Source organism: Homo sapiens, chromosome 12, assembly GCF_000001405.40.
Source record: "Homo sapiens chromosome 12, GRCh38.p14 Primary Assembly".
NCBI lineage: Eukaryota > Metazoa > Chordata > Mammalia > Primates > Hominidae > Homo > Homo sapiens.
This window is the reverse complement of record NC_000012.12, coordinates 48,791,474-48,806,424: the sequence shown is the minus strand read 5'-3', so window position 1 is coordinate 48,806,424 and position 14,951 is coordinate 48,791,474. Positions and strand designations below refer to the sequence as shown.

At 47.8% G+C, this 14,951-nt stretch overlaps 1 pseudogene, besides 2 other annotated features; it reads left to right on the top strand.

Moving 5' to 3' along the window:
* Positions 4,652-5,250: an enhancer, noted in NCBI's record as "H3K4me1 hESC enhancer chr12:49194958-49195556 (GRCh37/hg19 assembly coordinates)". NCBI's record gives its function as "activates a minimal SCP1, AML or CMV promoter by ChIP-STARR-seq in primed H9 embryonic stem cells {active_cell/tissue: H9 hESC(primed)}" and the evidence as "EXISTENCE:reporter gene assay evidence [ECO:0000049][PMID:30033119]".
* Positions 5,167-6,050, top strand: ADISSPP1 (ADISSP pseudogene 1; annotated as a pseudogene).
* Positions 10,265-10,559: a silencer, noted in NCBI's record as "tiled region #15276; HepG2 Repressive DNase unmatched - State 4:PromP". NCBI's record gives its function as "represses a minimal TATA promoter and a strong SV40 promoter by Sharpr-MPRA in HepG2 cells {active_cell/tissue: HepG2}" and the evidence as "EXISTENCE:reporter gene assay evidence [ECO:0000049][PMID:27701403]".

Here is a 14,951-nt window from a genome sequence, read left to right as displayed (position 1 = left end):
CCATTCTCCTGCCTCAGTCTCCCAAGTAGCTGGGACTACAGGCACCAACCACCACGCCTGGCTAATTTTTTGTATTTTTAGTAGAGACGGGGTTTCACCGTAGTCTCGATCTCCTGACCTTGTGATCTGCCCGCTTCGGCCTCCCAAAGTGCCGGGATTACAGGCGTGAGCCACCGCGCCCAGCCATCATGCAGTATGTTAACCAGATTCTGCGACACACTTTTCAGGCTGTATAATCTCATTCCTTTGTCTGCTTGTTTATTAGCTGCCTCTCTGGATGAGACTGCAAGTTGCCTGAGGGCAGGAACTTTGTCTGTCTTCTTTACTTATCACTGTATTTCCAGTGCCTAGAATTGTGCCTGCCACCTAGTAAGCATTAATGAATGTTTGTTGAAAGGAAGAATGTTTCTGGCTGGGCACAGTGCTTCGCGCCTGTAATCTCAGCACTTTGGGAGGCTCAGGTGGGTGGATCACCTGAGGTCAGGAGTTCAAGACCAGCCTGGCCAACATGGTGAAACCCCGTCTCTACTAAAAATACAAAAATTAGCCGGGCATGGTGGCAGGCGCCAGTGATTCCAGTTACTCAGGAGACTGAGGCAGGAGAATCACTTGAACCTGGGAGGCAGAGGTTGCAATGAGACGAGATTGTGCCACTGCACTGCAGCCTGGGCGACAGAACAATACTCCACCTACAAAAAAAAAAAAAAAGAATAAGTTTTGAAGTTTGTCCTTGTCACATTCCAATTGGTTGGAATCCAGGTCTCCTTGACTTGACAGCCTAGACTGATCTGTTCATTACACCACACTGGTAAGGAAGAAAGGTGTGTCTGAGGGGTGGGGTGGGAATAGAGCCCAGAGAAGGGAGACAGCAGGAGGAGTGACAACCAGAGAGGAGAGGAGGGGGCAAATGGCTTTTCTGTAAAACACACTTGGCCAAGGGGGCAGCTCAGAAGGCTCTCTTTTCCCCTTAGAATTCTGCCCCAAAGTGGGCATAGTCCTCTTGTCTTGGTCCTTCTCAACATACCAAGAGAGGCTCACTTTAAACGAGTGAGCAAAAAACTTTACCTAATACTAAGGAAACACAAAAAGAAAATAAACAATGAAAATACATGAACTCTAAAACAGCTCAGCGTTGTCTGAAGTGTAAAGTTTCCATTCTCACTCCCTGGACTCTCAGACTCGGGTCCTTTGTGTGTCTTGCCTCCTAGATAACTGCTGCCCAATTCCAAAGGGCTTTTCACAATTTTCCAGTCTCCTAGTTTCCCTGCCTCCCAGCTCCCAGCCTGTTTGCCAGGATGGGTATGGGGATACATTAAGACTTTTATGTATTTTTAAAAACATTTATTTTGAGGCAGGGTCTCACTCTGTTACTCTGGCTGGAGTACAGTGGTGCAATCATAGCTAACTGCAGCCTCAAACTCCTGAAGTCAGGCGATCCTCCTGCCTCAGCCTCCTGAGTAGCTGGGACTACAGGTGTGTGTCACCATGCCTGGCTAAAGACTTTTAGGTGCACTAAGAACTCAAGAGACTACGATGATCCCCATGCAGTTGAAAACAACTTAATTCAACAAACAATTCAACTGTAAAAAAAAATTTAAGAATGCTAAAAATGTTCTGAAAATTTCCATGACAAATTTGACATTTTGGGGAAAATGTCAAGTATCACATTATTTCTAAATAAATATTACTCAGTGCCCCTGATTTGCTGGCACTTAACACTCAGAGTGACTATTAGGTAGATACTCACTCTTCCCCCTATGCCTACCTCCATGGGAAATATGAAATGTAGAGGAAACATAGTACACTGTTAATTTCCTCATTTGGAGTACTTTCCTGCTGGCATAAAAACTGTGAACGCTTGGCATCTCCCTAACTTTTTATCTTGAACATTTTTTAAATGTAATTAATTAATTAATTAAAAATATTTTTTTTTTGAGACAGTGTTTCACTCTGTTGCCCAAGCTGGAGTGCAGTGGCGTGATCTCAGCTCACTGCAACCTCCACTTCCTGGGTTCAAGCGGTTCTCCTGCCTCAGCCTCCTGAGTAGCTGGGACTATGGGCATGTGCCACCACACTCAGTTAATTTTTGTATTTTTGGTAGAGATAGTGTTTTACCATGTTGGCCAGGCTGGTTTCGAACTCCTGACCTCAAGTAATCTGCCTGCCTTGGCCTCCCAAAGTGCTGGGATTAAAGGCGTGAGCCACCATGCCCGGCCTTGAACATTTTTTTTAATTTTTAATTTTTTTAAGAAAGAGATGGAGTCTCGCTTTATTTCCCAGGCTGGTTTGGAACTCCTGAGCTCAAGCGATCTGCCCGCCTCAACCTCCCAAAGTGCTGGGATTACATGGTGCCTACCCATGAACATTTTAAAACCTACAGAAAAGTTGCAAGAATAATACAATGAACACATAAACCTTTCACTTAGATTCACTGGTTGTTAACATTATCCCACATTTGCTTTATCACTATGTAGGTGTGTGTTTTTGCTGAACTATGTGAGAGTTAGTTGCAGACATTAACTTCCTTCCTAAAGACTTCATTCGGTATTTACCAAGAACAGGGGCATTTCTACATAACCACAAGATAATTATCACACTCAGGAAATCTAACAGTGATATATCATTATCTAATCTACATTTCCCCAAGTGTCCCAATAATGTCCTTATAGTTTTTTTTAAAAAATCTGGGCTCTGATAAAGCATCATGTGTTGTATTTAATTGTGTCTCTCTAGTCTTATTAAAGTTTCCCAATTTTTTTCTTGCATAACTTTGATATTTTTGAAGAATGCAGGCTAATTGTCTTAGAGGTGTCCCTCAATTGGTTTCCTCGATTCAGGTTAAACATTCTTGGTAAGAATACCACATAGGTGGTCGGGTGAGGTGGCTCACGCCTGTAATCTCAGAACTTTGGAAGGCCGAGGTGGGCGGATCACCCGAGGTCAGGAGTTCAAGACCAGCCTGACCAACATGGTGAAACCCAGTCTCTACTAAAAATACAAAAAATTAGCCAGGTGTGGTGGTGCACACCTATAATCTCAGCTACTTGGGAGGCCGAGGAAGGAGAATTGCTTGAACTTGGGAGGTGAAGGTTGCAGTGAGCTATGATCGCGCCACCGCACTCCAGCTCTGGTGACAGGGCAGGACTCCCATCTTAAAAACAATACTACGTAGGTGATGTTGTGTCCTTCCCAGTGCCTCACATTGGGGGCATATGATATCGGTTTGTCCCATTTTTGGCACTCTTAAATTCGATCACTTGGTTAAGGCAGCGTCTGTGGCATTTTTCTTATTTTTGAGACGGAGTCTTGCTCTGTTGCCCAGGCTGGAGTGCAATGGCATGATCTCGGCTCACTGCAACCTCCGCTTCCCAGATTCAAGCGATTCTCCTGCCTTAGCCTCCTGAGTAGCTGGGATTACAGGTGCATGCTACCACGCCCAGCTAATTTTCGTATTTTTAGTAGAGATGGGGTTTCGCCATGTTGGTCAGGCTGGTTTTCAACTCCTGACCTCAGCTGATCCACCCACCTTGGCCTCCCAAGGTGTTGAGATTACAGGCATGAGCCACCGTGCCGGGCCGGTGGTATTTTTCTTAATCAGGGAGGATGTTACCTTAGAAAGAAGGAGAGAAATGAGGATAACAAAGAGCAGAGGCAGATGTGGTGGCTCATACCTGTAATCCCATCACTTTGGAAGGCTGAGGTGGGAGGATTGCTTGAGCTCAGGGTTTGAGACTAGCCTAGGCAACAGAGCAAAACTCTGTCTCCACAAAAAAATTTTAAAAATTAGCCAGGCGGGCTGGGCATGGTGGCTCATGCCTGTAATCCCATCACTTTGGGAGGCCGAGGCGGGTGGATCACGAGGTCAGGAGATTGAGACCATCCTGGCTAACATGGTGAAACCCCGTCTCTACTAAAACACACACACACACACACACACACACACACACACACACACACACACACACACACACACTAGCCAGGCGTGACGGCAGGCGCCTGTAGTCCCAGCTACTTAGGAGGCTGAGGCAGGAGAATGGTGAGAACCTGGGAGGCGGAGCTTGCAGTGAGCCGAGATCGCGCCACTGCACTCCAGCCTGGGCGACAGAGTGAGACTCCGTCTCAAAAATAAAAAATAGGCCGGGCACGGTGGCTCATGCCTGTAATCCCAGCACTTTGGGAGGCCAAGGCAGGTGGATCACCTGAGGTAGGGAGTTCGAGACCAGCCTGGCCAACATAGGGAAACCCCCTCTCTACTAAAAATACAAATATCAGCCGGGCGTGGTTGAGGGCACCTGTAATCCCAGCTACTTGGGAGGCCGAGTAACAAGAATCGCTTGAACCCGGGAGGCGGACGTTGTAGTGAGCCGAGATCGCGCCATTGCACTCCTGCTTGGGCGACAAGAGCGAGAGTCCATCTCAAAAAAAAAAAATAAATAAAAATTAGCCAGGTGGCTGGGCACAGTGGCTCACGCCTGTAATTCCAGCACTTTGGGAGGCCGAGGCAGGCGGATCACCTCAGGTAGGGAGTTCGAGACCAGCCTGACCAACATGGAGAAACACCGTCTCTACCAAAAATACAAAAATTAGCGGGGCGTGGTGGCAAGTGCCTGTAATCCCAGCTACTCGGGAGGCTAAGGCAGGAGACTTGCTTGAACCCGGGAGGCAGAAGTTGCATTGAGCCGAGGTCGCGCCATTGCATTCCAGCCTGGGCAACAAGAGGGAAACTCCATCTCAAAAAAAAAAAAAAAAAAAAAAAATGCTAGGCATGGTGGCACTTGCCTGTAGTTCCAGCTAATTGGGAAGCTGAGAGGAGAAGATCGCTGGAGCCCAGGAGCTCGAGGCACCTCTGCACTCCAGCCTGGGCAACAGCGATGATACCCTGTCTCTAAAAAAACAAACAAACACAAACAAACAAAACAAAGAGGAGAGGCCCAGAAAGGAAAAGCTGTGATTGTTCATGTTTTTCCTGGGGACATGACTGCATGACGTGACTAGGCAATTCCTGCTCCTTGCTGCAAAGGCAGTGAGCCTTGGATCCAGTCTGAAGCAAGCCCAGTAGTAATTGAAAATCTTCCTCTTCTTCGCTTCTCTTTTCCCAAGCTCCAGTCCTAAACTAAGGACTGAGTTCCAACTGACTGAAAACCAAATTAAAAGAGGAGCCTTGCTCCCTTCCTTGTGCTCAGCGTTGAGACCCTGCCACCGCCTCAGCGGTCGTCCCTGCCCTGTCCGCCCCGGGCTGCACCCTGCAAGGCTCCTGCTGTTGTCCCCGGAGCATGGGAGGCTGCTGGGCATGAGTGGCTTGGTCCTGCGGAAGCTGCGTGGCAGGGAGGGGGTCCATGGCTGCAACCAACAAAGGCAGCAAGCCCAGATTCCGGAGTATCCACTTTGTGACAGGCCACGATGCAGAGGGCTCCCAAAGCCACGTCCACTTTGATGAGAAGTTGCAGGACTCGGTGGTCATGGTCATCCAGGAGAGGGACAGCAGCTTTCTGGTCAAGGTTCCTGAAGATCCTGCACAGGTATGAGATTACCTTTGCTCCGTCCCAGTGCACAGGCTGAGCAAGGACGTCCGCCAGGCACTTGTCCCCAGCCTGCACCTGAAGCTTCTCAGCGTCCTACCCTTCCCTGAAGGTTATAGTGTCAAGTGCGAGTACTAGGCGCACAAAGAAGGGGTCCTCAAAGAGGGGATGCTACTAGTCTGGGAAGGTGGCACCAGCACCTGCGTGCGCGGAAGGTGCAAGCCTGCATCATGGGCTGACGCCATGGCACATGCATGCTGCTGGACGGTGTCAAATGCATGGGTGCCAAGCTGGAATACTACTCGGAGCACAGCGACTGGCACGGCTTTGACTGAGGCCCGAGGTCCTGCCTGCCCTGGGCTGCCCTGCCTGCCCTGGGCTGCTCAGCCTTAAACCCTGCCTTGTTCCCCCATACCCGACATGCTGCCTGATGGTGTGGCTTCCTTGCCCCTCTCCAGGGTGGGTGGGATGGAGTGGCCTTGCCCACGCCTGTCACCTCTGCCTTCATTCAAGCCACCACCCTGCCTCTCCTGCATCCTCCTCTTCCACTTCCTCCTCTCCGTGTGCCTCAGTCTCCTGCCAGAAGAAATGGCTTGAGCCCTCAAGGAGGCTGTCTGAGGAAGGAAGGGGAGGGCCTGGGGTGGGTACTCCCACTCCCCACCCCAAGCCATAGGGGCTCCAGCCAGGGTCTGGGAGAGGACGGAGCTGGTTCTCTGAGGTCGTGGCCCCGTTACCTCTGCTGCTGCCTTGCTTCAGCCGCCTCTCCTGCCCCTCCCTCGTTCGCACTGCTGTCCTCCATGAGTAGCAGGGAGGTGCAGTCCCCAGCTCCTACCCCTCAGGTCTGTGTTACTTGATTTTTAAGCGAGTGGTTGGGATAGAATCCTAAAGAAATAAAACTTCCAGTGTGGGGGCGGGGTGGGGGGGAGACGACCCTTGTCCCCAGTGTTACTCCCAAACATTTGTGTGATATGCCGGCAAGGATCAGGGAGATAACCGATTTCAGTTATCTGCACTCACATACAGGCCCTTTGAGGCTTGTGAGATGAGAAAGTTTGATATTGTTAATCTTTTCAGTCTCTCTCACCTCTTACACACATATACAGAGCTGGCTTCCTGGACCACTTCTGGAAAGAGCAAAATCTACTTTTTCCATGGCAACTATTTAGCCAAGGAGACTGGGAGTAAAAGGGAGGATGTCCCTATGACCCTCTCCTTACTACTCTAAAATATCTTTTTTTTTTCTTTTGAGGTGGAGTCTTGCGCTGTTGCCCAGTCTGGAGTGCAGTGGCGTGATCTCGGCTCACTACATCTTCCGTCTCCTGGGTTCAAGCGATTCTCGTGCCTCAGCCTCCTGAGTAGCTGGGGTTACAGGTGTGTACCACCACACCCAGCTAATTTTTGTATTTTTAGTAGAGACGGAGTTTCGACATGTTGGCCAGGCTGGTCTTGAACTCCTGCCCTCAAGCCATCCACCCACCTTGGCCTCCCAAAGTGCTGGGATTACAGGTGTGAGCCACCATGCCTGGCCTTTTTTTTTTTTTTTTCTTTTTTGAGTAAAATATCTTAAAGAAAAGTGTGGGCATCATGATAGTCCACCAAGAAATACTTCAGTAGTATCACTCAGAAAGAACATATTTCAACCACCATATGATCTGGCAATCCCACTATTGGGTATATATCTGAAGAAATAAAACCAGTATGTTGAAGAGATATCTGCACTCCCATATTTATTGCAGCTTTATTCACAATAGCCAAGATATAGTAACTGGGCACAGTGGCTCACATCTATAGTCCCAGCTACTCTGGAAAGCTGAGGCAGGAGGATTGCTTGAGTCCAGGAGTTGGAAGCTGCAGGGCACTATGATCATGCCTGTGAATAGCCACTGCCCTCCAGCCTGGGCAACAAAGCAAGATCTGTCCTTATTAAAAAAAAAAAAAAAAAAAAAAAAAAAAAAAAAAAAAGGCCAGGCGCAGTGGCTCATGCCTGTAATCCCAACACTTTGGGAGGCCAAGACAGGCAGATCACAAGGCCAGGAGTTCAAGACCAGCTTGACCAATATGGTGAAACCTCGTCTCTACTAAAAATACAAAAATTAGCCTGGCGTGGTGGCGAGCGCCTAGCTACTCACGAGCCTGAGGCAGGAGAATTGCTTGAACCCAGGAGGCAGAGGTTGCAGTGAGCCAAGGTTGTGCCACTGCACTCCAGCCTGGGCGACAGAGCGAGACTCCGTCTCAGAAAAAAAAAACAAAAAAAACAAAAAACAACACACACAATAGCCAAGATATGGAATCACCCTGAGTGTCCATCAACAGAAAAATGGATAAAGAAAATGCAGTATACAGTATATATATTATGTAATAATATTCAGCCATAAAAAAGAATGAAATTTTGCAATTTATGGCAATATGGATGAACCTGGAGGATATTATGCTAAGTGAAATGAGCCCAGCACAGAAAGACAAATGCCATGTGATCTCTTTTTTTTTTTGAGACGGAATCTCTCTGTCACCTAGGCTGGAGTGCAATGGTGTGGTCTTGGCTCACTGCAACCTCCACCTCCTGGGTTCAAATGATTCTCCTGCCTCAGCCTCCCAAGCAGCTGGTACTACAGGTGCATGCCACCACACCCGGCTAATTTTTGTATTTTTAGTAGAGACGGGGTTTCACTGTGTTGGCCAGGCTGGTCTCGAACTCCTGACCTCATGATCCGCCCGCCTTAGCCTCCCAAAGTGCTGGGATTACAGGCATGAGCTATTGCACCTGGCCATGATCTCATTTATACGTGGAATCTTAGAAAGTTGAACTTGTAGAAAAAGTAGAATGGCAGTTACCGGAGGCTGGGGAGTGGGAGGATTGGGCCGAAATGAAGTTGGCCAAAGGATACAAAATCTGTTAGATGAGAGGAATAAGTTCAAGACATCTATTGCACAACGTGGTGAATAGAGTTAATAGCAATGCATCTTATACTTGAAATTGCTAAAAGAGTAGATTTTAGGTGTTCTCACCACCAAAAAAAAAAGATAAGCATGTGAAGTGATGCATATGTTAATTAGCTTGATTTAACCATTTCACAATGTATACATATTTCAAAACATGTTGTACACAATTTACGTACATATATATAATTTTTATTTGTCAATTTAAATAAATAAATAAATGTTAAAATTAGGGGGAATTTCTTAGTGTCAAAATAACATTACCCGGCCGGGCACGGTGGCTCACGCCTGTAATCCCAGCACTTTGGGAGGCCCAGGCGGGCGGATCATGCGGTCAGGAATTCAAGAACAGCCTGACCAACATGGTGAAACCCTGTCTCTACTAAAAATACAAAAATTAGCCGGTCTTGGTGGCACGCGCCTGTAATCCCAGCTACTCAGGAGGCCGAGGCAGGAGAATCACTTGAACCCGGGAGATGGAGGTTGCAGCGAACCTGAGATCCTGCCACTGAACTTCAGCTGGGTGACAGTGCGAGACTCCGTCTCAAAAAAAAATAAAAAAATAAAAAAATAACATTACCCTTCCCTAACACAATTAAACATAATTCCATCTAATATCCAGCACACTTTCAAGTTTCATCATTTGTAAGAGGGGTTAACTTTGATGGGTTTGGGTGGGGGAAGAATTTAAAAAGCCCTCAAGAAGGAAGTGGCATTTTGAGGAGTCCTTGAAAGATGACTAACAGCTACCACATTGTGACAGGCAAACCTGAGATGGCCACAAATGATCCCCACGTCTTGGTATTCATGCCCTTGAGTAATCCCCTCCCCTTGACTGTGGGCTGGCCTAGAGACTTACTTCTGATCCATCAGAAGGTGATGGACGGCACTTCTATAATGAGGCTATAAGAGACCATTGACTTCTGTTTGCTAGCGGAATCTCTTCTTGCTGGCTTGGATGAAGACATGCTGCCATGTGGCAGAGGCCTAAGGGAAAGGTGCCTGAGGCCCTCAGTCCAGCAGCCCAGCCCATATGGAACTGAATCCTATCAACGACCACATGAGCTTGGAATTGGATCCTTCCTTATTCCAACCATAGATGAGACTGAAGCCTCAGCTAACATCTTGCTTGTAGCTTTGTGAGACCTTGAAGTAGAGGACCCCACTGAGCTATGCTCAGTCTCCTGATAGGCAGAAACTATGAAACAGTAAACGTGTGTTGCTTTAGGCTGCTAAATGTGTGGTAATTTGTTACGCAGCAATAGAGAACTAATACACTTGTTTAATAAAAATGGCCTTGTGCATGGAAGTCATTGCTATCCTCCCTTTTTTACTAAGGGGGAAACTAAGGCCCAGAAAGGCTTGATGAATTGCCCAACACATACCAGTCATCTTGATTGTAAAAACAGAAACAGACTCCAACTAATGGGAGCAGAAATGACATTTGTTGGAAGGATAGTGAATAACTTGCTCACAGAACTGATAGAAAGGCAAGAGTATAAGGCGTAAAAAACAGGCAGGAACAAAGAGAAATTAGGCAGCAGGAATGATAGGAGGGTCAAGTTCGGGCTTCTGACACTGCTGCTGAAAGCAGAATGAATTCTAAACCGCTCTTGCTTCTTCACACCCCCCAGCTCCAGACTCTAAGCTTTTGGTAGGAGTGGCCAGTCATCTGAGCTTGGGTCAGCGGGTTGGTGACTGGGATCAGTTCACAGTAGGTGCTCAAACATGGTTAATTCAACTCATAAAAGACGAATCTGGCATTGCGTATAAAACTAGATGGAGGGTGCGCTCATCCCTCCAACACCCAGAGACCAGTGTTCCAGCCCTTCCCTGATTTCCAGAATTTCCCATACTGCCCCTAGGAGCCGTGAGCCAGAGAAGACTATAGATTGAGTAGCGAAAAGTTGGGAACTAACTATGGGCTGCAGTACCATGATTGTGCCACCAGAGGGCATACAAGACCCAGACATTTACTAAGGTGGGGACGAGGGAATAGGTGCTGGCGGAATGGGATAGTGAAGACTGAGGAAGTCTGGGCTCTGGAAACCCAGAGAAGGACTAGCAGTGGTGTGGGCACCAAGAGTTGCCTCATCCTCATGGCCCTAGCTGTACTCCCTCTCCACTCTGGAAGCTTTGGGCTCTCCTGGTCTTTGCTCTGAGACCTTTAAGAGGACTTTGGACTCTTCTTTTTATGGCATCAATTCTCCAACTGTAAATACTGCCCCCACCCCATCAGTTCCAGATCGGCATTGGAATAGAGTGCAGGGGTGGGTAGGGTGGGGTAATGGGTGTGCCTCTCGCCCTGCAAATGGGGTGAGGTTGGGATGGGCAGTAGCTTCCTCAAACTAGAGCTCCTATGGCAGTAGGGCAGAAGGAGGTGGAGTGGGCCTTCTCCTCTGGGCTGTAACTTCCAGTGCGTAGCACAGCGCCTGGGACGTGGTAGGAACTCAATAAATATTTGTCGATTGTTGATAATTATTTGATATGCATAAACCATGCAGAGAGAGCCAAGGCAGGTCATTAGGGTACTCCAACTCCAAAACATTTCCTGAGTCCTTCCACTTCTCAGCAGCCCCGCCCTCTATCACCATCCTTGTCCAAGCCACTGTTTCCACCTGGACCACTATAATAGCTTTCTAAGTGGTTTCCCTTGCATCCCTTGATCCCACAATTTATTCTCCACTCAGCAGCTACCATGATCCTTTAAAACCATAAATCAGATCGTGCCACTTCTGAGCTTAACACCTTCCAAAGGCTTCTCATTACACTTTCAATGAAATCCAAACTCCTTTCCCTGGCCTAAGAGCTTCTCCACTAGCTAGGGCATGCCTCCCTTTCTGACCTCATCTTATACTTTCTTCCTTCAACACATGGGCTTCAGCCTCACTGACTTTCTGTTTCTTAAGCACCGTGAGCTTGCTATTGCCTTAGGGCTTTTGCATTAGCTGTTCCCTCTGAAATGCTCTTTACCCAGATTCTTTGCATGGCTGACTCCTTGTCATTCAGGTCTGCATGTACATAGCACTTCCTTATAGGGACCTTTCTTGACAGCCATACCTAGGTTTCTACCCCAGTCACTTCCTATCGATCCTGGGTTCTAATTGTCATCATAGCACTTATCATCAACTATCTTCTCATCTATTCTTTTTTTTTTTTCCCGAGATGGAGCCTTGCTTTGTCACCCAGGCTGGAGTGCAGTGGCAGGATCTCAGCTCACTGCAACCTCCGCCTCCAGGGTTCAAGCAATTATCCTGCCTCAGCCTGCTGAGTAGCTGGGATTACACACACCCGGCTAATTTTCGTATTTTTAGTAGAGATGGGGTTTCACCATGTTGGCCAGGCTCGTCTTGAACTCCTGACCTTGCAATCCACCAGCTTTGGCCTCCCAAAGTGCTGGGATTACAGGCATGAGCCACCATGCCCAGCTTATTCTTTTTTTTGTTTTGTTTTTTTTTGAGACAGTGTCTCGGTCTGTCACCCAGGCTGGAGTGCAGTGGTGCAATCACGGCTCACTGCAACCTTGCCCTCCTGGGCTCAAGTGATCCTCCTGCCTCAGCCTCCTGAGTAAGCTGGAACCACAGGTGCACAGCACCACACTTGGCTAATTTTTAAAATTTTTTAGTCGAGATGAGGTCTCGCTATGTTGACCAGGCTGGTCTCAAACTCCTGAGCTCAAGCAATCCTCCTGCCAAAGTGCTGGGATTATAGGCATGAGACACTGCACCTGGCTCATCATTTTTTCATAAGTTTTTAAATAATTTTTTTTTGTAGAGATGGGGTCTCACCATGTTGCCCAGGCTGGTCTCAAACTCTTGGGCTCAAGTGATCCTTGTGCTTCAGCCTCCCAAAGTGCTGGGATTGCAGGTGTGAGCTGCCATGCCCAGCCTCATCTATTCATTTATTTCTTGTTTCCTCCCACTAGAAGGTAAGCTTAATGAGACTAGGAACTCTGTCTGCTGAGTTCAATTACTGTATCCTCAGCACCTATTAATAGAAGAGTGCCTAACACATAGTAGCGAGAGTAGGTGACAGGGCGAGACTCCATCTCAAAAATAAATAAATAAATAAATAAATAAATAAATAAATATGGGATGAATGAATAATGGATCTAAGGGGATGGGGAAGGGATTTTGTATCCCCCTGGAGTTGAGCCCATTCTCAAGGGTAGTGGTGGTGGTGGCGGTGGAAATGGAGTTGGCCAGAGCCTATTCCAACCCTGGAAGTAGAAGGGGTTGTGAGTCTCTGGAGTGGTGATGGTGGTGGTGGTGGTAGCAGCAGTGATGTTAGGGGTAGTGAAACGGACAAGGCATATTTGCTAGATTGAATGAATGTGTTTTTTTTGTTTTGTTTTGTTTTTTGAGACGGAGTCTCACTCTGTTCCCCAGGCTGTAGTGCAGTGGTGCAATCTCGGCTCACTGCAACCTCTGCCTCCCGAGTTCAAGCTATTCTCCTGCGTCAGCCTCCCCAGTAGCTGGGACTACAGGCGCGTGTCACTATACCGGGCTAATTTTTGTAGTTTTAGGAGAGACGGGGTTTCACCTTGTTGGGCAGGCTGGTCTCAAACTCCTGACTCAGGTGATCTGCCCGCCTTGGCCTCCCAAAGTGATGGGATTACAGGCACCAGCAACCGCACCCAGCTGTGAATTGTTTTTATATGTCTTTCTTACTTTCAGAAAATAAAATGTGCAGACTTTTGGTGTTTTTTCTTTTTTTTTTTTTTTGAGACGGAGTTTCGCTCTCGTTGCCCAGGCTGGAGTGCAATGGCGCGATCTTGGCTCACCGCAACCTCCGCCTTCCAGGTTCAAGCAATTCTCCTGCCTCAGCCTCCCGAGTAGCTGGGATTACAGGCATGCACCACCATGCCCGGCTAATTTTGTATTTTTATAGTAGAGACGGGGTTTCTCCATGTTGAGGCTGGTCATGAACTCCTGACCTCAGGTGATCCTCCCGCCTCGGCCTCCCAAATTGCTGGGATTACAGGCGTGAGCCACCGCGCCTGGCCAAATTGTGCAGACTTTTGATCTTTAAGACAGAAAAGCTAGGGAATGGTTGTTTGCATTGTAAAAGGAATCTTTGCTTTGTAAAAGGGCGTAGGCAGAGGCTAGTTTAGCTGTAACCCAAACAACCCAAGGAAGGCTCAGGGCACTCAAGCCTATCCGTTAGTTACATTGCAGGGTGTTTTCAACACTGCTTATGTATAGAGTGTTGTCCAGATACACTTTTGGCTGTGTGAAGCTTACACTTACATATAATACATTCTGCTTGTAAGAGTTTCCTCTTCCTGAAAATGAGAGATTGAAAATACATCACTCTTGTGACTATGGTCTGTATTATTAAAAAAAAAAAAAAAAGGTCGTTGAGATCAAGCAAGCTAGACGTGGAGAAATACAGTTCCTGCTGACTGCCTCTCTCTTTCTTCTCTTTGTCAGAGTTAAAACCTTCCAATTGGCCATGCGCGGTGGCTCATGCCTGTAATCCCAACACGTTGGTAGGCCACAACGGGTGGATTGCTTGAGCTCGAGTTTGAGACCAGCCTGGACAACATGGTGAAACCTGTCTCTATTAAAAATACAAAAATTAGCCGGGCATGGTGGCAAGCGCCTGTAGTCTCAGCTACTTGGGAGGCTGACGTAGAATCGCTTGAACTCAGGAGGCAGAGGTTACAGTGAGCCGAGATCGTGCCATTGCACTCCAGCCTGGGCAACAGAGCAAGACCCTGTCTCAAAAAAAAAAAAAAAAGTCCTAATATTCTGTAGTGCTAGAAATAGATTTGATGGTGGCCCTGCCCTGTCGGAACTTAAGACTCTAATATTCATGTCCGGCATGCACCTGTAATCCCAGCTACTGGGGAGGCTAAGGCAGGAGAATCACTTGAACTCAGGTGGCAGAAGCTGCAGTGAGCAGAGATCGTGCCACTGCACTCTAGCCTGGGCAACAGAACGAAACTCGGTCTCAAGAAAAAAAAAAAGATTCTAAGGCCAGGCACGGTGGCTTCACGGCTGTAATCCCAGCACTTTTGGAGGCTGAGGCAGTTAGATCACCTGAGGTCAAGAGTTTGAGACCAGCCTGGCCAATATGGAGAAACCGTCTCTCTACTACAAATACGAAAATTAGCCAGGTGTGGTGGTGGGCGCCTGTAATCCCAGCTACTCGGGAGGCTGACACAGGAGAATCACTTGAGCCTGGAAGGTGCTGGGACTATAAGCACGTATCATCACGCTGGGCTAATTTTTTTTTTTTTTTGAGACAGAGTCTTGCTGTGTTGCCCAGGCTGGAGTGCAGTGGCGCAATCTCAGCTCACTGCAACTTCCGCCTCCCAGGTTCAAGCGATTCCCTTGCCTCAGCCTCCCTAGTAACTGGGATTACAGGCGCGCGCCACCACTCCCCAATAATTTTTGTATTTTTAGTAGAGACGGGGTTTCACCATTTTGGTCAGGCTGGTCTCAAACTCCTGACCTCGTGATCTGCCTGCCTTGGCCTTCCAAAGTGCTG